Below are 20,916 nucleotides of genomic sequence, written 5' to 3' on the forward strand. Positions count from 1 at the left end.
TTGGTGTTTGTGCAACGCAACCTGGCGAGCCAGTATGGAATGGTCCAATGCTCCAGGTGTATACAACAAAATCATCATCACTAACATAAAGAACACTCCAAGGATTGCAATCCAGGGGTTGGCCAAGGTCAAAGATGGTTCCCCTGGAGACATGCAAGGGGTAAGCATCCAGAACTGCTACAGTAACTCTTTTCCTCACAAGGCCCTGCACATCCTTGCTTATCACCTAGTACTAATTCCTGGCTTACTAATAGGAATAATACAAAGCTAATTAAGTCTGGGCACGTGAGAAGATATTTAAACCTATTTTATTGCTAAATCATTCCCTCTAGTCTCTCTACCCTACCCAACATATTCTAGCCTCCAATTTCTATCCTGGTAGATAACATTACATTTGCATTTTGTTATTCCAGAAGGTGCATAAAGTTCTTTGTTTTTTTCTTCTCTTTTCTTTTTTTTGAGATGGAGTCTTGCTCTGTCGCCAGGCTGGAGGGAAATGGCATGATCTCGGCTCACTGCAACCTCCGCCTCCCGAGTTCAAGCGACTCCCCTGCCTCAGCCTTTATGAACAGGCAACATGTAGGCAGCAGTAGTTTATGCTGCTTAGAAGAGAAGGCCTAAGAAGGATAGAGCTCAAAGTTGTAAAATCTACAGGGTTCATATCCTTGTATGATTTACATTTGTATCATTTCCCCCACACACCTGCGTTACCTCCTGGATTTTCTATTTCGTACAGCCTTAACAAGATCTACCTGTGGCCCAAGCCAAAACCCTAGATGATACCTCTTCTCTCCCATCCTCTAAATACAGACACTAAACCCAATTGATATTAGCTCTTAAAGACGCCCTGATCTATTTCCTTCTTTCCATATGACATCATTTTCCTCTTAACTGCTCCTTTCTCTTGCTTCTCTCCCCCTCTCCCCCAGGCCATTATTCATGTCAGCAGGGTTCTCCCTCCCGTTCTTTCCTAGAAAGCCAATGCACCACACACTGAAGAATAATTTTCTGAAAAAGATGTCTTAAGTAATGAGGTATTATTACCACTTATCTCTATTTTCGATTGTTTCCTGTATGTCATAGATCTACTAATATCTATTTTACTGGAAAACAAATTAATTATATCTCAAATTGAAAAAATATGTCCTCAGGATAGAATCAATTGCTTGGAGTTCTCTGAGCCAAAGTGCAACAGAAATAATAAGAGCTGCTTCCTGTGCCTCATCCTCTCTTTGCTTTACGACATCTGGAGTCTTCTCCCAATCTTTCTTTCTCAACTGCTATGTTCAGATTCCTCTTCATTAAATATTTCTGCCAGATTTCATTCCTACAGAAAAGCCCACAGTCAGAAAAGGATTCCTTGGCTAGTTAATATTTCATAGGTCCCTTCCGAGGGTGTAGGCAGATGTTATAGACGGTGTTAACATATAACATCAATCTAAATTTGAATTTTAAAACATCTGATTCATAAAAGTGATAAGAATTGTTCCATCTGAACCTAAAATACTCAAGTGAGATCCTGCAAAAATTGTTAAAGCTCTTAGCAGCAAGTTGAGGGCTATACTGAATGAGAAGAGGGCTACCTACAACTTCTCTTAAACTGCTAAAAATTTTTCACAAAAAATGTGTTTCTAAGCCAAAACTGCCTAGATTAATTCCTAAAGTGAGAAGTCTTCAGAAGCTTCAAATTTACCAACTGTGGTACTTCTTTGCTTTAATTTGTGTAATAATTTATGTGTTATTAGAATGCTGGTATACAAAGATCAGACATGACTAATAAGTAAAAAAAATTATCATAAAAGTGAACTAAATCCAAATATTTGGTGTATCTACTTATCTACTCTTTTCCTGGTAGATAATATTACATTTGCATTTTGTTATTCTAGAAAGTGCATAACGTTCTTTGTTTCTTTTCCTTTTTTTTTGAGACGGAGTCTCGCTCTGTCACCAGGCTGGAGTGCAATGGCACGATCTCGGCTCACTGCAACCTCTGCCTCCCGGGTTCAAGCGATTCCCCTGCCTCAGCCTTCCAAATAGCTGGGACTACAGGCACGCGCACATCACGCAATTTTTTGTATTTTTTTTAGTAGAGATGGGGTTTCACCATGTTGGCCAGGATGGTCTCGATCTCCTGACCTCGTGATCCACCTGCCTTGGCCTCCCAAAGTGCTGGGATTACAGGCATGAGCCACCGCACCCACCCAGTTCTTTGTTTCTTTTATATTTTAGATGAAGCATAGATTTTTGTTAAAATAATACATATACCAAAAAAAGAAAAACAAATGTGCAAAAGGATAAATGAAGCCTCTAGATATTGCCGGACTATTTTTCCAGAGATATTTAATCTGAATACAAAGTTAACATTGTTTAGGATATCCTAAATGTAATATCATATAAGGAAGTCACTTGGCTTTTTGAAGTTATTTTTTAATCAACATACCAATTATCAAGTCAAAGACTAGGTTAGATATGCTATTGCTCTAACCCTGTATTACAACTATATATACACACACACACACATACACACATATATATATGCACACACATACACACACACACACACTTTTTTTTTTTTTTTTTTGAGACAGTCTCTCACTCTGTCACCCAGGCTGGAATGCAGTGGCGCGATCTCAGCTCACTGCAAGCTCTGCCTTGTGGGCTCAAGCAATTCTCCTGCCTTAGCCTCCTGAGTAGCTGGGATTATAGGTGCCTGCCACTGCACCCAGCCAATTTTTGTATTTTAGTAGAGGTGAGGTTTCATCATGTTGGCCAGGCTGGTCTCAAACTCCTGACCTCAAGTGATCCGCCTGCCTTGGCCTCCCAAAGTGCTGGGATTACAGGTGTGAGCCACTGCACCTGGCCAGCAACTATATTTTTTGTTATTTAAAAAAAGTATCACAAATAGTCTCCATAAATAAAATTTGTATATCTCAGTCCCTAAATTTTAATTTTAATGTTCTACCATCATCAGTAATGGCTCAAATAGTCATTTCTTTCTCTGATTCTTCTATTTCCCCTTAATATATAGCTTTTTAGCTTCTAATACTTCCCATATAATTTTCCCCCATATATTTTATATCTTTGTTTTTAATCTAATTTTCGTACTTACTTTAGCCAGATACCAGAAGAAAACATGTGTTGTGTCACTTCAGGCACTTTTTCGAAGTCTTTTCCCTGAAGATATCATTTCTGTGATGAAAAGATGTTGTACTAAAATATCTGCAATATACAGTATAGTTAGAACAAGAAAATGAAAGTACATCTAGACTGCAGTTAATGAACACTACCTATGTTTTCTCAAGGTAACAACAGAGAAAAATAAATAAAATAAGATAAATTATTTGTATTAAATGAATATTTTCATTTTCAAAATTTCGGTCTCATTTTATAGAACTGGCACATTTAAAATTACCTGATTTAGCAAAATAAGATCTAAATACAATTTTCCAGAAATGTATGTATTGTGTAAAGTGAGATATACTGGTTTCATGTATAAAACAGTCAGAGAATGTCAATTTATGGAAATAAATAATTTTTAAATATCTGTTACCCTTACTGGGCATGGTGGCTCATGCCTATAATCCCAGCACTTTGGGAGGCTGAGGCGGGCAGATCATGAGGTCAAGAGATCGAGACCAACCTGCCCAACATGGTGAAAACCCATCTCTACTAAAAAATGCAAAAATTAGCTGGGTGTGGTGGCGTGCGCCTGTAGTCCCAGCTACTTGGGAGGCTGAGGCAGGAGTATTGCTTCAACCCAGGAGGCAGAGGTTGCAGTGAGCTGAGATCACACTACTGCACTCCACCCTGGTGACAGAGCGAGACTCGTCTCAAAAAAAAAAAAAAAATCTGTTACCCATGAAAGATAATCAATACCTATCAAATATTGGATTAACCATGCTAAGAGCAATTAATGTAACAATAGCTCCAATAAGACCTCATTAAATAATCAAGTACTTCAAATAAACAATAGATTTAGCAAAAAGCACCTAGCCGACAGCATTAGTTTCATTTTTAAAAGACTATTCTTTAGCTAGTGCTGAAAGCATAAGGCATTGATCCTTTAAAATAAGAATAAAGGATACACAGTTTCTAGTACTTTTGACTGGGTGGTTACTTGAAACATTATTCTCCAGGAAATTCTAATTTTCCTTCAGAGATGTTAAATTTGCTGCGAGACTTCACAGAAAAATATTTTATGATATCCGAGTTCTTAATTTTTTCCCATGGGCCTGCTTCTCCCCTCAATAATTGTCAGCCAGAAAAAAGATAATTATTTGTTTAACTCTTAAACTTTTAGGTATATACTTATTTTATGGATTGTTATATGACACTGGGCAAGCTAACTTCTCTGCGTCCCAATACTATCACCTGTAAAAAAGCTGGTCTGTAGGTGATCTGTAATAGTGATCTCCATCCTCTTCCCCATCCTTACATAGATGATGGTTAGGATAAACTACCATCAGCAACACTGGCTCCTCCAGCTACCCAGTTGAGCTGCCTGTTGCCTGCTCTTCCTTCCTTTGGAGAAATCGTTGATCTAAGATAACTTCAGCATTAAAAAATTACGAGTCTAGAGTGATCATGAGATTGAAAACAACTATCTGAAATCATGCAACCTTGAGATGCATTTTCTTTTTGAGACAGGGTCTCACTCTGTTGCCCAGGCTGGAGTGCAGTGGTACGATCCTAGCTCACTGCAGCCTCAAACTCATGGGCACAAGGGATCCTCCTGCCTCAGCCTCCCAAGTAGCTGATACTATAGGTACACACCACTGCACCCGGCTAATTTTTTAATTTTTTGCAGAGACAGGATCTCTCTGCTACTTAAGCTGTTCTCACGTTCCTGTTCTCAAGTGATCCTCCTACCTTGGCCACCCAGAGTCTGGGGTTACAGGTGAGCCACAAGGCCGGCCTTTTTTTTTTTTTTTAAATAAAAACATCTTTTTTGTAAGGTTCTTAGTAAAAATAATTATAATAATAATATATATAAAGGGTGAAGGCTGTGCCACCACAACTTTCAATACATTCCCTTCCTGCCACTCACTTCCATTTGATGAAATCAATAGGAAAATTGCTGTACAACAAAGAGTAGCATCTGACAGGCACTGTGCCAACCTTTACCTCACACTTTCAAAGACCGGAAGAGTTCAAGGCTTTAGTTTACACATGGTTTGGCTACTCTCAGACGCTAGGCAATTGTTGGGTTTCCTGATTACCTGCAAAAACATTTTTGGATAACAGCTCATTGAGAAAAAGGGATATCTACAAAGACAGAATATGTCATTTTTATGGATCTAGCTATTATGTTATTTGTATAGGTTGAATAATTTATATGTACTATATCAACTATTAAATTTTGGACAAATTTTTAGGCTTTGCCAGCAAAATTAGACCAAAATTTCAATTTTGAACAGAGTATAAATCTCTCTTCTCTAAATTAAAAACCCTTTCCCCTGCTTTTAGAAAACATAATTGCATAATTCAAACTCCTTCAAAACTGTGACCTAGTTCCCCCTCTTGATGTTATAAAGGGCTCATGTAACTATGGTAACTAACCAGGGAAAATTGAATGTTTTTCTGGTCAGCAATATGCAAAGTATACCATATGTGCTATTTTTTCTCTTTGGGATAGCTAAGGGGATATTACGTTTGCCTTTTTTCTTGTTTATGAAAATATGAGATCTTATTATACCGAATTTCCTCTTCACTACAATCCCAGTCATTCACACGGTCCCTTCGTTAAAACGTTTTAGGATCATATTTTGCTTTTAGTAGTCATCCTAAATGCTGAATAGTACTATAATCTAAAGCAGTAGGATTGACTGTATACACCAGTTAAATCTGTGCAGTCTAACACATAAACTCCAAGTACAGGGTGATATTGCTCAGATTTCTAATATTCCTTCTACAGAATCTGATATTTTCTTAACTTTGTCCTTTTTTTTTTTTTTTTTTTTTTTTAAATGAGACAGAGTTTTGCTCTTGCTGCCCAGGCTGGAGAGTGCAATGGCACCATCTTGGCTCACTGCAATCTCTGCCTTCCGGGTTCAAGCGATTCTCCTGTCTCAGCCTCTGAGTATCTGGGATTACAGGCACATGCCACCACGCCCGGCTAATTTTTGTATTTTTAGTAGAGATGGGGTTTCATCATATTGGTCAGGCTGGTCTCGAACTCCTGGCCTCAGGTGATCTGCCCACCTCGTGGCAAAGTGCTGGGATTACAGGCATGAGCCACCACACCTGGCCTAACTTTGTACTTCAATCCTAGCCAAAGTGTTTTCTTAAAGCAAAAGAACTGCTAAAATGGAATTACATCTTGGAGTATATTTAGATATTGAGAAGAGTTATCTCCAGTTTGTAGTGACTTTTATATATCTTTTTATTTCTATTTAAATTTTTTCTACAATAATGTGTATTACTTATGTAATAAAGTAATAAAAAATGCTTTAATGCTTTAAAACTGAGTTCAGTGGAGACGCACACCATTAGGTTTTGTTTTTTTTTTTTCTTTGAGACGGAGTCTCGCTTTGTCGCCCAGGCTGGAGTGCAGTGGCATGATCTCCGCTCACTGCAACCTCCGCCTCCCGGGTTCATGCCATTCTCCTGCCTCAGCCTCCCCAGTAGCTGGGACTACAGGTGCCCGCCACTACGCCCAGCTGATTTTTTGCATTTTTAGTAGAGACGGGGTTTCACCGTGTTAGCCAGGATGGTCTTGATCTCCTGACCTCGTGATCCGCCCGCCTCGGCCTCCCAAAGTGCTGGGATTACAGGACTATTAGGTTTTTCTTTAGTTGCTTTTTGTACTAATGAATTGATTTAAAGTTTTAGGGTTTTTCACTATAATTTAAGATGCTTCACTGGACCTTCTAGAACAAATTACACTCTAACACAGCCTCCTAGATTACTAAGGATTTATTTATTTGCATCAGGTACAATTACATTTCTTACAACACGCTATCAATTGGTGACTTTTCATATGAGGATTTCTTCTTGAATTTCTCCATATTTAAAGCAGTGATTTTAAACTACTTAAATATCTTCCTCAGAAAAACATTGCTCTCTGCTTCACTGAATTAAACAGGGAATTAACTGCCTCTTACTGGTTTGGAAAAGACCTCAGTAACCAAATAAAATGCATGGGATTTGCTGGATCCTGTTAAACCAAATGTGAAAGATTTACTGAGACAATAGGAAAATTTGAATTGTGTAGTTATTAAATGATAGTAAGAAAATTTGGGGAGGCAGAATACATGGTATTACGGATATGCTTAAAAAACTGTTATCTTGGCCAGGCATGGTGGCTCACGTCTGTAATCCCAGCACTTTGGCAGGCCAAGGCGGGCGGATCTCTGGAGGTCAGGAGTTCCACACCAGCTTTAACCAACATGGTGAAACCCCCTCTCTACTAAAAATACAAAAATTAGCTGGGCATGGTGACACATACCTGTAATCTCAGCTACTTGGGAGGCTGAAGCAGGAGAATCGCTTGAACCTGGGAGGCGGAGGTTGCAAAGAGCCAAGATCGCCCCATTGCACTCCAGCCTGGGCGACAAAAGCAAGTCTCAGTCTCAAAAACAAACAAACAAAAAACAACTATTATATTTTACCTATTCATATTATTCATATTTAAAGTATTTACAGATAAAATGATAAAAATCCAGCAAGAGTGAGGGAATGTGAAGGGCTATAGATTAAATAATCTTAGCCATATGTTGCTAAATGTTGAAGCTGGGTAGACGGTATATAAGGATTTATTGTAGTATTACTTTTGCCTTTGAAAATTTCCATAAAAGTTTAAAAATATTAAAAAGTAGAAAAAAGAAAAGGATTTCATTTATTTGATCTGACTCAAACAGAAGCTGAATTTTCTCAGCAGGCATCTTTAGGAATCTTTCACCATTACTTGCCAGTTTGTTTTCAACCAGTTTGAAGTTGTTGCTCTCCCCAAGAGACAGGTACGGAGGCGTACACATTTCCTGCCAGGGACCTCTTAAAGTCAGACTTAGAAATTCAAGGTAATCCCAGACTAATTTGGGGAGATCAGTTACTTATCTTTTTTTTAGGGTTGCTTTATGGTAGATAATACACTGTAGAGCAAATAAAATGCCTTTTTGCTTTATTCACAGGATTAAATACCATAAATTAATTTCTAGTTGCTGAGAACGGGAGATTTTAAATTTTGCATTTAGAAGACAAGAAATTCAATCTGAAGAGGCCCCATATTTCCAGTTAAGTGACCACTCAGAAGGGAAGGACAGCGCTCAATAACCAAGGTCAAGAGTTGGGTTTAGGGTTTGTGGCGATTTTTTTTGGGGGTGGCAAGAATAAGCCGTAGATTAATCTCTTAAAATAAATATAGCAAGAAAAGCATGCCTAAAATAATTCATACATATACATATATTATCATATTACAGTGTTTTACAGTTTTAGATCAGTACCAGCTAAAATATTCTTTGGATTGTTTTTGCTTTTTTACCAGCCTGTTCAACAGAATTATAAAAGGTGACAATAATGCTATAAATGTCTCCTATCCCATGCTCATCCCTCCTCTCATCTTGCTCTGTTTCTGGAGTACTCTAGGTATTCTGCATCTTTGCCTTTTTCCCCTTCTAGTTTCTAAACACATTTCTTATCTACTTGCAGATCACTTATCAGACTGAATAAAATCCATAGGTACATTCGGTGTCTGACCTGTAACAAGGCACCCCACATTATTTTGCGCCTTTGATAAAGACCAGCTTATTCAAACTTGTGAGAAAACAAAAATAGCAGGGTTCAAGTAAAAACCAGTAAAATTCAGTTCTTCACAGTGGCGGTTTTTTGACAAGACCCGGCCGAAAGATTTCACGAACAGTAAAATCCCAGAATGTTCTCAGAAATACTATCCACTGTACTGTCTGGGTTGCTTAATACTGGCCCAAACCTCAGTGTCCTAGGATAATAACCCAAGACAATTTCCCAGTCCTTTGAAATAGTTGACGTCCCAAGATGTCAAATTGCCTGGAGTGCTTTATTTTGGTTTGAAATTTAAAATTTCCTCTAGATAAAGATCTAGATTTCTCTTTGCAAGTCAAAGGCTAGTTACTATTAACAGCTGTTTCAAAAGTGCTCTAAATAGGTCACCATTCAGGTGTACCAACGCTGCAAACTGGATCTAAGAAGATCCAAATTTGTCACCACTCACTCACATTTTAACTCAAAGGTAGTACTCACAATTGGCCTTGTTTACATAGGCATTCCATTAAAATTATCCATGCATTCATTCTATTTGCACCCATTTCTTTCAAAAATGTCCATCTGTAATTAAAATCAGCTCCTCTGCCTGACATCTCATTTACACTACACCGAAATTAAACCCCACTAGGAGATCACGTAGATTATGGGGCCGAGGGCCCGCCCGCTGACTAGGTTTTCACTCGCGTCTCCTCCATGCCCCAGGTCCCCTCCGATTGCAGTCCTGGGGCAGGACTGAGCAAAAAGTCCCGTAAAGCTGGCGTGTGCCCCACTCCGCCAGGAAGCCTCACCGACGTCCTGTGCTTAAATGTTCTGACACCCCCCAAAAGCAGTTGTTTTTAAAGGCTGTCTGTGGGACCAATGCGTTGTCAAACAGATGCCGTCCCGCATCCCCTCCCCCTAAATGACACAGAAGATTCCAGCGTAGGGGAAGGGCCACGAAACCCGCAGGGCACACGACGCCGGGGGCCGGAGGGAGCACCGCCTACCTCCCTGATCAAGCCCCGCGGTGCCGGGCGAGCCCGAGGGCCCGGCAGGAGGCGGGCGGCAGCCCCAGGCGAGCTCGGAGGCGGCGGGAACGCAGCCGCCGCGCATGCCGGGAGCCGCACGCCGCCCGCCGGGGCGCGCAGTCCCGCAGGCCTCGCTCCAGGTCGTCCGAAAAGGAACCGCCTGCTGCTCCTTTGCAGGCTCGCGAGGAGCCGCACTCGGACCGCCTGATGGGGAAAAAGCCGGTGTGGCCGGGCGGAGCGAGCCGAGCGGAGCTGGAGCTGCCCCTCCCAGCGGGGAGGACGGCACGAAGGACCGAGCCGCCTCCCCTCCCGGGTCCCATTCAGACGCGAGGCGCAGAGACTGGCTCCCCGGGCTTCCCCTTTAAGGGGGGCGGGGCGCGGCCTGCCGTTTGGCCGCCCCCCACACCCTCCCCCGCTAGCCCAGAGCCGGCAGACCAATCGCCCGGGCGGCGGAGCGAAGGCGGGAGAATGCGAACCCTCCGGTAGGCGGTAGGGGCGGGCCCCGGCCTTATTCGCAGGGAGCGCTGCGCAGGCGCAGAGGCGGCCGCGGGCGGAGGGGCGGGGGCAGGCTAGCGGGAGGCTCTCCGTGAGGCACGGAGGGTGACTGGGGACAGGCGGGCGGCGACGGGCTTGTCATGGGGATCCGGGCTGCGAGACGGCACTCGTAGCATCTGGGGACTCCGAGGGGGACAGGAAGTGTCAGCGCCCGGGACCCCGGCGCCGGCCCCGCCGAGGGGATCCCCACTGCTCCGGTCCTGGAGCGGGAGGGGAGAAAGGAGGGAGCCCCGGTTTCGCCCCGCCCCTGGGCTGGTGCTGCGGGGGCGGGGAGTGAGGGCTGCTCTGGGGGGAGTGGAGATCGGGGAGCGCGGCCGTGCCCTCTCGAGCGGCTGCGGGGTCCCCGCGGCGCCGGGCTGCTGAGCTGAGGGCCCGCGGCGGCCGCGGCCGGTGCATGTGCGGCTGCTGGATGCGGAGGCGGCGGCGACGGCGCGGATCGGCAGGATGTTAGGGCAGCAGCAGCAGCAACTGTACTCGTCGGCCGCGCTCCTGACCGGGGAGCGGAGCCGGCTGCTCACCTGCTACGTGCAGGACTACCTTGAGTGCGTGGAGTCGCTGCCCCACGACATGCAGAGGAACGTGTCTGTGCTGCGAGAGCTGGACAACAAATATCAAGGTAGGAGCCGCGGGGCTGCCGGCCTCGGGAGCCGGTGGCGGGGAGCCTGTCCGGGGGAGTGCCACCTTCCCTTTCTCCCGTGACAGTCTCCCCGAGCGCACCGAGGGTCTGCCGAGCGGGACTGGGAGGACTGGAGACCGGGTTGGCGGCCCTCCGTGGCCCCGCGGTGGGCGAGTACTTCTCTGGGGTCCCCAGAGTGGGGGTGGGGGCCGCTTGTCAGCCCCCGCTGCAGACCCAGCGGCTGCAGCTGCCGCTGAGGGGAATCAGCCATTTTAAGCAGCAAGCATTTGTTCAGGCGCTGGCCCGCCCCGTGCCGCAGACCCTGCGGCCCCGGCCCGGGACTGCAGCCGGGCAAGGGTCGGAGGGAGTGAGCGGCCGGGCTCCCGCTGGTCTGCGGGGCGCGCTTCCCCACCTCACTCGCCCCCACCCCGGAGTGCGGGTGCTTTGGAACGTGCGGGGGGAGGGGGCGAGAGGCCGCGGAGGCGGACTGAGGGGGCCTTCCTCCGCGCTCCTGCCCCGGCCCGGAGGAGAGCAGTCCGTTCCGCTCTCTCGCCCCGGGAAAGTTCGCGGGCGCCCCGCGTTGTAGCCCTAGCCCAGTTCTTTCGGCAAAATGGTTAAGAGGGGAGGGGTCCCCCGCGGGAGAGGAAGAGAGGGGCGTGTGTGGCGGGGAGGGCCCCCGCGCCGGGGGCGGGGCCTGCGGGCTTGACGAGGGGCGTGGGAGGGGCGCGGCGCGCGTTCCCGCGGGCCTGGAAAATGGCTGGTCGCGAGAGGGGCGGTGGCGAGCTGGCTGCTGGGGAGGGAGTCGGGGCTGTGCGGGGGCGTTGGTTCGGCCCCAGCGGAGTCCGAATCGGGGTTTGCAGCATGTTTTGCGGTGATGTTTCCAACCTCTTTCCCAGTCAATGGATCAGGACGGCGATCAGCAGCTCGGACCGTCGCGGATCCTGGCTCCGCGTAGGTTCCGGGACATGTGTCACTTCCGGGCTTCAGGAGGAAGTGGGTTGGTTGACTGGGCAACCGCCTGGCGTCCCCGAGCCCCTCCTTCTCCGACTTTAAGTGTGGAGGCGAAACCACCCTTTGCCGGCCGACCCGGGAACCCGGGACAGAATCGACCTTCCTTACAGTGTTACCACCTACTATCGGTGGTGCTACTAGGAGGGCAGTTTAAAAGGGGAAATGTGTTGCGCTTAATAACCTTGAATCGAGGAACAGACCTTGAACATAGTATGGAAACAGCCATACGAACTTTAAAGATAATTTCCTGGACCCATTCTCTGTTTTTGTAGACACGCCAGTAATCCTATACTTTAAAAGTCTCTAAGGAATCCACTTCTTGGGTGACATAAGTGTCTGATGTTTTTTAGTTTATAAATTTGTTTCTGTTTTCTGAATCCATAGGATTCATAGGACTGATCCGTGTTTGGGGAGGGGGTGGGGAGGGAATTAAAACTGATGCGCTGGGTCCAGACCATTATATAAATATTTCTTTTACAGATTACAAAGAGTTCAAGTAACTCGTCCAGTTAATTCGATGTAGAATATTTGGCTCCAGAGCCTGCTACTGTAGATGCATATCTTTGTTTTCAAACAATTTAAGTTTTAATAAAAACTGTCCAAGGGGATTTCTACAGATATGGAGCACAAACATGAATGGTAACCTAAAAATGATACGTGCTTAATAATTGTATATGGAACCTTTCTAGTTTTTCAGATAACACCAAAGTTTGTAAAGCTTGTAGTTTGTGTTGTTGTTTTAGACAGAGCCTTGCTCTGTCCCCTAGGCTGGAGTGCAGTGGCTCGATCTTAGCTCCCTGCAACCTCTGCCTCCCGGGTTCAAGCGATTCTCCTGCCTCAGCCTCCCGAGTAGCTGGGATTACAGGCAACTGCCATCACGCCGGGCTAAGTTTTGTATTTTTAGTAGAGACGGAGTTTCACCATGTTGGCCAGGATGGTCTTGAACTCCTGACCTCAGGGGACCCGCCCGCCTCGGCCTCCGAAAGTGCTGGGATTACAGGCGTGAGCCACCGCGCCCAGCAAGCTTGCAGGTTTTTACATTTCTTTGAAGGCACATGTTTCCTTTCACAAGAGTTAAGCTATTTGAAGTTGGTGAGGGATACTATAATTTGTTGACAGGGAAATCTTTCGGATCATCTATAATTGTCAGGTATTAATAGCTCTGGTAACATTAGTAATATAGTAGGCCTTACAAGATTGAGAGATTATACAAATTCTTAGCTCTATGAAGTTTGTGATTAGTGATTAAAAACTCATCTAGTTTTCACTCTGCACGTGGTTACTGAGCTCAACTTTCACAGTTTTATGTTTATGTATATTTTGGGTTCAGATTTCATGTTTTTTATATCTTCACTAGTGCTTAAGTATTTTCTGGTTTTGGATCTAATATTTCTAGCAATATTTAGTGATATAAATTATATAGGCAGTCAAATTTCTTTCTAACCTACTTGAGACACTTTCAGAACTGCTGAAAAACTTATAAAATGAGAAATAAAGAAGAAAACAATTTCACAATTGAAGTACTTATTATGGGATAGGGTTATTAGAGAACCTTTATTTTTATTCTAGTGTTCCCACTCATAATTTCTTAGATAAATAACAACCTTCAAACTAAACTTTGATACTTAATTTCAAGTGCCTTTCATATAGTTTATAGAAAGTGCTTACACTGCGAGGTCAGACATACAGATCTGGCACAGTTCAAAGTCTGGGGTTCTTATCTCTTGAGTTGCAGTTTTTTTCACAAGCAGAAGTGATGGCTTCCTCATGGGGTTGCTGTGGAGATTAACTGAGAAAATCTTTACCACATAGAAGGGGCTGAGTAAATGTTAATTTCTTGTCTTCTTTCACTATATAATACGGTATCTTACAAATTTTTTATCTCATCTATCAATGTGCTGGTATGATATATACTGTACTTAGCCTCTAACACCTGATTATTAGGTACAAAATATTTGAAAAGAGGTTTGCCTCTTTTTTTTTTAATCCTCAATTTTTTATGTGTCTGAGGGAACCAGTTTCCTTATTTTTCCTGTAGGGAAATGAGGTTCTTAAGAAATCTGCTTAGATGCCGAGCTAAGCAAATGGAATAGACATGAACTTTGTTCGAAAATATGCTATGCAGGTGTAAGTACTCTGAACTGTGTGGTGGCACTTTGTTATATATTCCAAGTTAGACAGTTGTACATCAAGTACGAGTACCTGCGATTTCCAGGGAGAAGCTGATTAATGAGTTCTGTTGAATATTTGCTTTTGTGTGCCTTACTTGCAGACAGCCCCAATGTATATATCTACTTGCCTAACATTTCTGTTTTTAATAATTATAATATTGGAATATAAAACTAGTATGCCATGTGGTATGAAAAATACCATGCGGACAGAACTCTTTGAGATAGCATTACATCTTGTAAGAATAAGAAATAAAACGGATTCGAGCAAAACTAATCTTAAGTAAATTTTTGGTGACATCTGAAATTATATTTTCAGATTTTTGGATACCTTCTAGTGACTCAGCTATTTTTACTTGATTTAAGTAAGTGTATTCCACGTGCCATACAACTAAATCAGCAGTTCAGAAAGCTCAGAACCAACTACTGATTTATCTACAAAGGCAGAATGATCGAGTGCTGACTTTATTGTAATTTTGTTAGTGGTTTGGTCAGTTGATGCCAGAACCAGAACCTACTCTGGAAATAGTTTCATTTTCAGAATTTCCCATGTGAGGCTAAAGTAGAGCCATTAAAAGTAAGATGATGGGAAGCTAAGAGTTGCTTATGCCTTCTTTGTTAAGAATGTATGATGTGAAAGTGAAGCTATATCTCCGGAGTCATGTCACAAGTCATTGTCACAAGTCATTGATTGGACTGTAAATCCTGTAAACACAGTTGGGCAGTAATCTGTAGCCTAGTCCTGTAACCTTTTCAAGTTTTAGAGCTGGACCCCAGCCTGCACATTTTATATATAGGGTTGTTTTGAAGGTGTTACAGTACTTAGTAGACTAAAGTGGCATTCAGTGTTCCTGCCCATGAGAAATACTTTTGATCATTAATTAGCCAAACATCTCTTATCCTTTTTTTTTTTTTTTGAGACGGAGTCTTGCTCTGTCTCCCAGGCTGGAGTGCAGTGGCGCGATCTCGGCTCACTGCAAGCTCCGCCTCCAGGGTTCTCGCCATTCTCCTGCCTCAGCCTCCTGAGTAGCTGGGACTACAGGCGCCCGCCACTGCGCCCGGCTAATTTTTTTTGTATTTTTAGTAGAGACGGGGTTTCACCGTGGTCTCGATCTCCTGACCTCGTGATCCACCCGCCTCGGCCTCCCAAAGTGCTGGGATTACAAGCGTGAGCCACCGCGCCTGGCCTTTTTTTTTTTTTTTTTGAGATGGAGTTTTGCTCTGTCGCCCAGACCGGAGTGCAGCGGTGCGATCTCGGCTCACGGCAACCTCCGCCTTCCGGGTTCAAGCAGTTCTCTGCCTCAGCCTCCCAAGTAGCTGAAATGATGAGGGGCGCCTGCCACCATGCCCGGCTAATTTTTGCATTTTTAGTAGAGACAGGGTTTCACTATCTTGGCCAGGTTGGTCTTGAACTCCTGACCTCAGGTGATCCACCTGCCTCGGCTTCCCAAAGTGCTGGGATTACAGGCGTGAGCCACCGCGCCCAGCCTCTTTTTAATATAGATTAATGAGTATTAGTTTTGTGTTCTTTCTTTTCATTACTTTATTTCTAACTATACTTTCATATTAGATAATGTGGTCTTTGTATGAAATAGTTTTTAATGTATATGTACCAAAGAGGAGTATGGTTTCATGGTTTGAGTTCTAATTTCAATTCTGTAAAAAATAACTACCTTGGAAATGTTGTGTCTGCTAACACATGATAACGTTCTCATTTTTCTTTTCCTTTTTTTAGAAACGTTAAAGGAAATTGATGATGTCTACGAAAAATATAAGAAAGAAGATGATTTAAACCAGAAGAAACGTCTACAGCAGCTTCTCCAGAGAGCACTAATTAATAGTCAAGAATTGGGAGATGAAAAAATACAGATTGTTACACAAATGCTCGAATTGGTGGAAAATCGGGCAAGACAAATGGAGTTACACTCACAGTGTTTCCAAGATCCTGCTGAAAGTGAACGAGCCTCAGATAAAGCAAAGATGGATTCCAGCCAACCAGAAAGATCTTCAAGAAGACCCCGCAGGCAGCGGACCAGTGAAAGCCGTGATTTATGTCACATGGCAAATGGGATTGAAGACTGTGATGATCAGCCACCTAAAGAAAAGAAATCCAAGTCAGCAAAGAAAAAGAAACGCTCCAAGGCCAAGCAGGAAAGGGAAGCTTCACCTGTTGAGTTTGCAATAGATCCTAATGAACCTACATACTGCTTATGCAACCAAGTGTCTTATGGGGAGATGATAGGATGTGACAATGAACAGTGTCCAATTGAATGGTTTCACTTTTCATGTGTTTCACTTACCTATAAACCAAAGGGGAAATGGTATTGCCCAAAGTGCAGGGGAGATAATGAGAAAACAATGGACAAAAGTACTGAAAAGACAAAAAAGGATAGAAGATCGAGGTAGTAAAGGCCATCCACATTTTAAAGGGTTATTTGTCTTTTATATAATTCGTTTGCTTTCAGAAAATGTTTTAGGGTAAATGCATAAGACTATGCAATAATTTTTAATCATTAGTATTAATGGTGTATTAAAAGTTGTTGTACTTTGTCTGTGACCTTAATTTTCTGCACTGAGTTACCAAATATTTCCAACCAGGTAGTCTTCAGATCACCTGATGAAAGGAGCAGGGAACAGGAAGAGGGTGGTGTAAACATTATAAAAATTTCACAAACCATGCCTATTTCATTTTCACTTAAAACTGCAATGTTATTTTTTGGGTAAACACAAAAGTTTCACTAGCATTTTAGTTATACATGCTTAAAAAAATGTTAGATGTAGTGGGATTTCTCTTAAGCATCAAATGATCTTGGGTACTTTAAAATACAGACACTATGCCATTTGAGCTGCTTTTTCCCTAGTCCTATTTATACGTTGGCTTGTTCATCTCTAGTCTTCTAGGAGTTTAAGGAACTGGAGATAAGAGTAATTTGGGATTCCATGTGGAATAATGTGCTCTTATGAGAGTACGTGCTGCTGTCTTTTGCTTAGTAGCATTTTGATCCACTGTCAGTAGCCCATTTGTCAATGCCTTGCTGCTGCTTTGTAGATATACTTAGTCTAGTGCTTAATAAGGGAGTTGTTTTGTGTTTTCTTTTAATTGGGACAGGTAAGAGTAGTTAGCATACCAAAAATATACATTGGCTTACATTGGCAAACTTTGGGTTATATAGTATCACGGCTCAAGGTTGAACAATTTAAAAATACATCTTAATTAATAGTATTTTCCATGTGACCTGCTGCCAGGATGCGTAGCCACAGGCCTATCAGTGGAAAGGGGCATATAGTAGTCTTTAAATATTGCCTTTATGTCAGAGAGTTGTTTTAAATGGTTTTGCTAGTGGTTATTGTTCATTTCTGTCCCAATCAGTGACTATTTTAAATAATAGTGTATTTACTGTCTTAACTTCTAGTATTGGTGCTGTTTGATGTTTTCACATTTAATTAACTTATTTCATCATCATAATGCAATTAATGTATTTGTAAATTGAATTTTCCAAGATTCTGATATTTGAAGGGTAAGCATCTTGATGGATATATGTCCATATGTTTAGAGAAGGTTTTGGTTTTGGGGGCAGCAGATTGACTAGTTCTTTAAATCTGTGTGTAACGTATGTTTTATTCCTCATTTCTTCCTAATCTGATGATCTTGATTCTTTTTGATTAACATGAAAAATCCTGTCTGCTTGTTTTGGGAAAAAAAAATGCTTTTTTTCTCTTCTAGCTCTCCTGTGTGACTTTTAGGCATGTCATTTCACCTTGTCTGGGTGTCAGGTCATTCACCTGTAAAATGAGTTGGCTTAAATATCTCCGAGATTCCTTGGAAATTTCTACTATTTGCACTATAGTGAGGATTTTAATAATGACATGACTTCTCTTTTCATTAATTTTGTCCTTCATTCTGAGGTATAAAGATAGTTTAAAGGTGAGTTTGGAGATGGGTAAATGTGCAATATTTGTTAGCTTCTGTCCTAAGAATATTTGGATTCATGACTAGAGCTAGTTGATTCTATTACCTTTTGAGTGAGAAATGTTAGACAGCATGATTAAGAATTTAGCAAATCCTTTCTCATCACCATAACTTAGCTGAGTTGTAAGGAAATCCTTTTGAGAATATGGCATTTTGTTTTAGTGATTACAACCTTGTTACCAGAATGGAGCTTTTTACTTGACACCATTAAAAATATCAGTATGGACAAAACCCCCAAAGCCTTCAGATGCGACTTACATAGAAGTCACCACTTTTTCATACGTAAATCTGCCTTGGCAGATGGGAGAAAAGAAACGACTTCCTAATAGAAATGCCAAAGTTTGGATTAGACTTGACGGGAAAACGAACCTGGAAAATCCTGGAAGGTGTGCTCTCTTTAAGACCTAATATCTGAAACAGTTTTATGACTTTTTTGTTTTGTTTTCTACACATCTTGGAAATAGAAGTCTTAAGCATGCGTAGCATTAGGACTGGAATTTCTTTTGTTGAGTATTCTGGATCTCATATCATGGTTACCAACTCATACTGTATACACCAGTGGTTCCCAAACTTAACGTTGGAATTACCTGGGAGTTTCAACAAATACTGATATCTGTGCCCCACCCTCAGCAATTGTGATCTAAATTCATTTGGAATGTGGCTTAAGCATTAGAATTTTTAAAAGATCCCCATTATAATATATGGAAATGTTTTGGAACCACTGCCACATTTCACAGTTTTCAACTTATTGAAAGCTGCTGTGGATTATCTACATCCAGATTTATGCAAATCTGAAGCAGATACAGATGCTTATACACACATGAGAGTATCTCCTGCCCCCAGTGGCTCCACCACCAGTGCCTGAATACTCAACATCTGAGTGCTAATTAATGTGCCAGGCACCGTTTTAAGCAGTTGTGGTGTAAAAAGGAAATATCCCTGCTTGTGGACGATACATTCTAGTGGAGGAGTCAGATACATAAAATGTCAGGTAAATTGCTAAAGTGAAAGGAAAACTGAGTAAAGGGCTGGAAATGAATGGAAGGGGGGGTGGCAAGTCTTTTATTTATGGTAATTTAAAAAGGTGTCCCTAAGGAAGTAATCCTTAGAGCTAAGAGCAGAAATAAGGCAGGCAAAGATTTGAGGGAGGGAGGAGGGAACAAGCTTGGCAGGTTGACTAAAGCAGGGCATTAGAGCACAGTGTACAAGGGGCTGGGAACTGGGGACTCTTGGAAGCCATGGTAGGAAACTTGGGAAGCCATTGAGGGGTTTGAGCCATGGTCTGACATAAAGGTCACTCTGGATACTGTGTATACAATATTATAGGGAACCTGGGTGAAAATAGATTTAGGAGAAGCAACTCAGAAGATTTAATAGCAACTCAGAAGTCTTCACATCGAGTGTTGGTGGCTTAGCCTAGGGTGGTAGCAGCAGCAGTAGTGGCTAGTGGTAGGACTCTGTGTACTAAAGGTACAGCCAACATAACTTTGGCCCAGGGATTGGAAGGCAAAGAGATGACAAGGGTGACTCGGGTTTTTGGCCTGAAGGGGGAAAAAGAATAAAAATTTATGGTTTGCACTTAGGTTTGAGATGCCTAATAGATTTCCAGTAGAATCCAGCATGGAACCCGGCATATGACCGTTAGGGTAATAGGAGGTGAACATTTTGGAGAGTCATCTCTATGGCATTTGAAGCCATGTGACTGAAATTACTCAGGAAATTAGAGCTTCTCAAATGTTAATAAGCATGTTTGGTTAAGATCCAGATTCTGCTTCAGGAGATCTGACGTGGGGCCCGAGGGTCTGCATTTCTAGCAAGCTTCTCAGTGATGCTGATGCCGCTGGGCCGGGGCCCGCATTTTGAGTAGCAACCAAGTAGATGGGGAGGAGAGAGGGTCAGCCCTGTGTCACTCCAACATCTAAAATGGGGAGGAGCCAGCAAAGGAACCTGAGGAGAGCTCTCCGTGATGTGAAATAAAGTGTTTCAAGAAGGGAGTCGTCGGCTCATTCAGGTGCTGTTGAAGGAAGATGAACACAACTAACTGTTAGATTGGGGGGATTGTCGTTAACAAGCTGCACGTTTGGAGTCTGGATTGTGAGCAGAAGGGGACTGAAATAGAGATGGCAACTGCAGACAAGCCTTGCAAAGGGGAACAGAGATGGGTTATAACTGAGGCGGAGGTGAGCTAAGGGAGGACTTAAGCTATTCGGGAAATAGTATGGCATGATTGACTATATGCTGGAGGAATCCCGTTAGGAGGGGCAAGTGAATGCTGTTGATGGGGAAACTGAATAGGCAAGACGGAGTGGGATGCAGGACTCAGGAGAGGCTGGTCTCAGTAGGCAGAAGAGGCAGTGCCTTGTCCATGTCCACAGGGAGGGCAGCACTTTTATTCACTTACTCAAATATTTATTGTGCACCTATTTGCAAGGCATCGTTTGTACTGGGGATAAAGCAGTGACCAAAATGAGACAATCTGTAACCTTGTGGAGCTTAGATTCTGGAGTGAATGGGGCGTATATGCAGGTAGGTTGCTAACTTTGTTATTGGGAAAATGATAGCTTCCACTTTCCCAGCTGAGGAAGTGATGGGGAAGGGAGTTGCAAGTCTGTAGGAATGAGAGGTGTGGAGCATCACCTGGGAGAGTAGGAGAGTGAATGGCCCCGGAATGCCAGGACTGTGGCCAAGCTGCAGGTTTGGGTCAAAACTTCACATGAGCTGACTACTCATTTTGTTGCCTGGATGCAGACATGAAAAAATAAACAAAAAATAACAAATTTTCGAAATCTCTACAGTACACCAGAAAAATTGCATCTCCCCAGTCCTTTTCATATACCTATTAGGTGGCTT

At 43.0% G+C, this 20,916-nt stretch overlaps 1 protein-coding gene and 1 long non-coding RNA gene across 4 annotated transcripts, besides 5 other annotated features; one reads left to right on the forward strand and one right to left on the reverse strand.

Annotated features, from left to right (window-relative positions):
* Positions 1–286: 286 nt before the first annotated feature.
* On the reverse strand, positions 287–10,065 carry ING2-DT (ING2 divergent transcript). Its single transcript, NR_033995.2, has 3 exons — positions 9,726–10,065; positions 3,110–3,219; positions 287–617 (listed from the first exon to the last, which is right to left on the reverse strand). It is a non-coding gene; the product is annotated as an ING2 divergent transcript (long non-coding RNA).
* Positions 9,690–10,729: a silencer, noted in NCBI's record as "silent region_15828". NCBI's record gives its function as "represses an Ori minimal core promoter by ATAC-STARR-seq in GM12878 lymphoblastoid cells {active_cell/tissue: GM12878}" and the evidence as "EXISTENCE:reporter gene assay evidence [ECO:0000049][PMID:35858748]".
* Positions 10,608–17,979, forward strand: ING2 (inhibitor of growth family member 2). Of its 3 annotated transcripts, none has more exons than NM_001564.4 (2): positions 10,608–10,917; positions 15,832–17,979. In NM_001564.4, the coding sequence occupies exons 1-2, from the start codon at positions 10,746–10,748 to the stop codon at positions 16,500–16,502; spliced, it is 843 nt and encodes a 280-aa protein (NP_001555.1). In that variant the 5' UTR covers positions 10,608–10,745; the 3' UTR covers positions 16,503–17,979. The 3 variants fall into 3 exon arrangements, with proteins under 3 accessions (NP_001555.1, NP_001278888.1, XP_011530229.1); NM_001291959.2 differs by lacking the exon at positions 10,608–10,917 and adding an exon at positions 11,648–11,868; XM_011531927.3 differs by lacking the exon at positions 10,608–10,917 and adding an exon at positions 12,401–12,567.
* Positions 10,950–11,669: a silencer, noted in NCBI's record as "silent region_15829". NCBI's record gives its function as "represses an Ori minimal core promoter by ATAC-STARR-seq in GM12878 lymphoblastoid cells {active_cell/tissue: GM12878}" and the evidence as "EXISTENCE:reporter gene assay evidence [ECO:0000049][PMID:35858748]".
* Positions 11,910–11,959: a silencer, noted in NCBI's record as "silent region_15830". NCBI's record gives its function as "represses an Ori minimal core promoter by ATAC-STARR-seq in GM12878 lymphoblastoid cells {active_cell/tissue: GM12878}" and the evidence as "EXISTENCE:reporter gene assay evidence [ECO:0000049][PMID:35858748]".
* Positions 14,695–15,195: an enhancer, noted in NCBI's record as "H3K4me1 hESC enhancer chr4:184430298-184430798 (GRCh37/hg19 assembly coordinates)". NCBI's record gives its function as "activates a minimal SCP1, AML or CMV promoter by ChIP-STARR-seq in naive H9 embryonic stem cells {active_cell/tissue: H9 hESC(naive)}" and the evidence as "EXISTENCE:reporter gene assay evidence [ECO:0000049][PMID:30033119]".
* Positions 15,196–15,696: an enhancer, noted in NCBI's record as "H3K4me1 hESC enhancer chr4:184430799-184431299 (GRCh37/hg19 assembly coordinates)". NCBI's record gives its function as "activates a minimal SCP1, AML or CMV promoter by ChIP-STARR-seq in naive H9 embryonic stem cells {active_cell/tissue: H9 hESC(naive)}" and the evidence as "EXISTENCE:reporter gene assay evidence [ECO:0000049][PMID:30033119]".
* Positions 17,980–20,916: the final 2,937 nt, after the last annotated feature.

Source organism: Homo sapiens, chromosome 4 (assembly GCF_000001405.40).
Source record: "Homo sapiens chromosome 4, GRCh38.p14 Primary Assembly".
In the NCBI taxonomy this organism is placed as follows: Eukaryota; Metazoa; Chordata; class Mammalia; order Primates; family Hominidae; genus Homo; species Homo sapiens.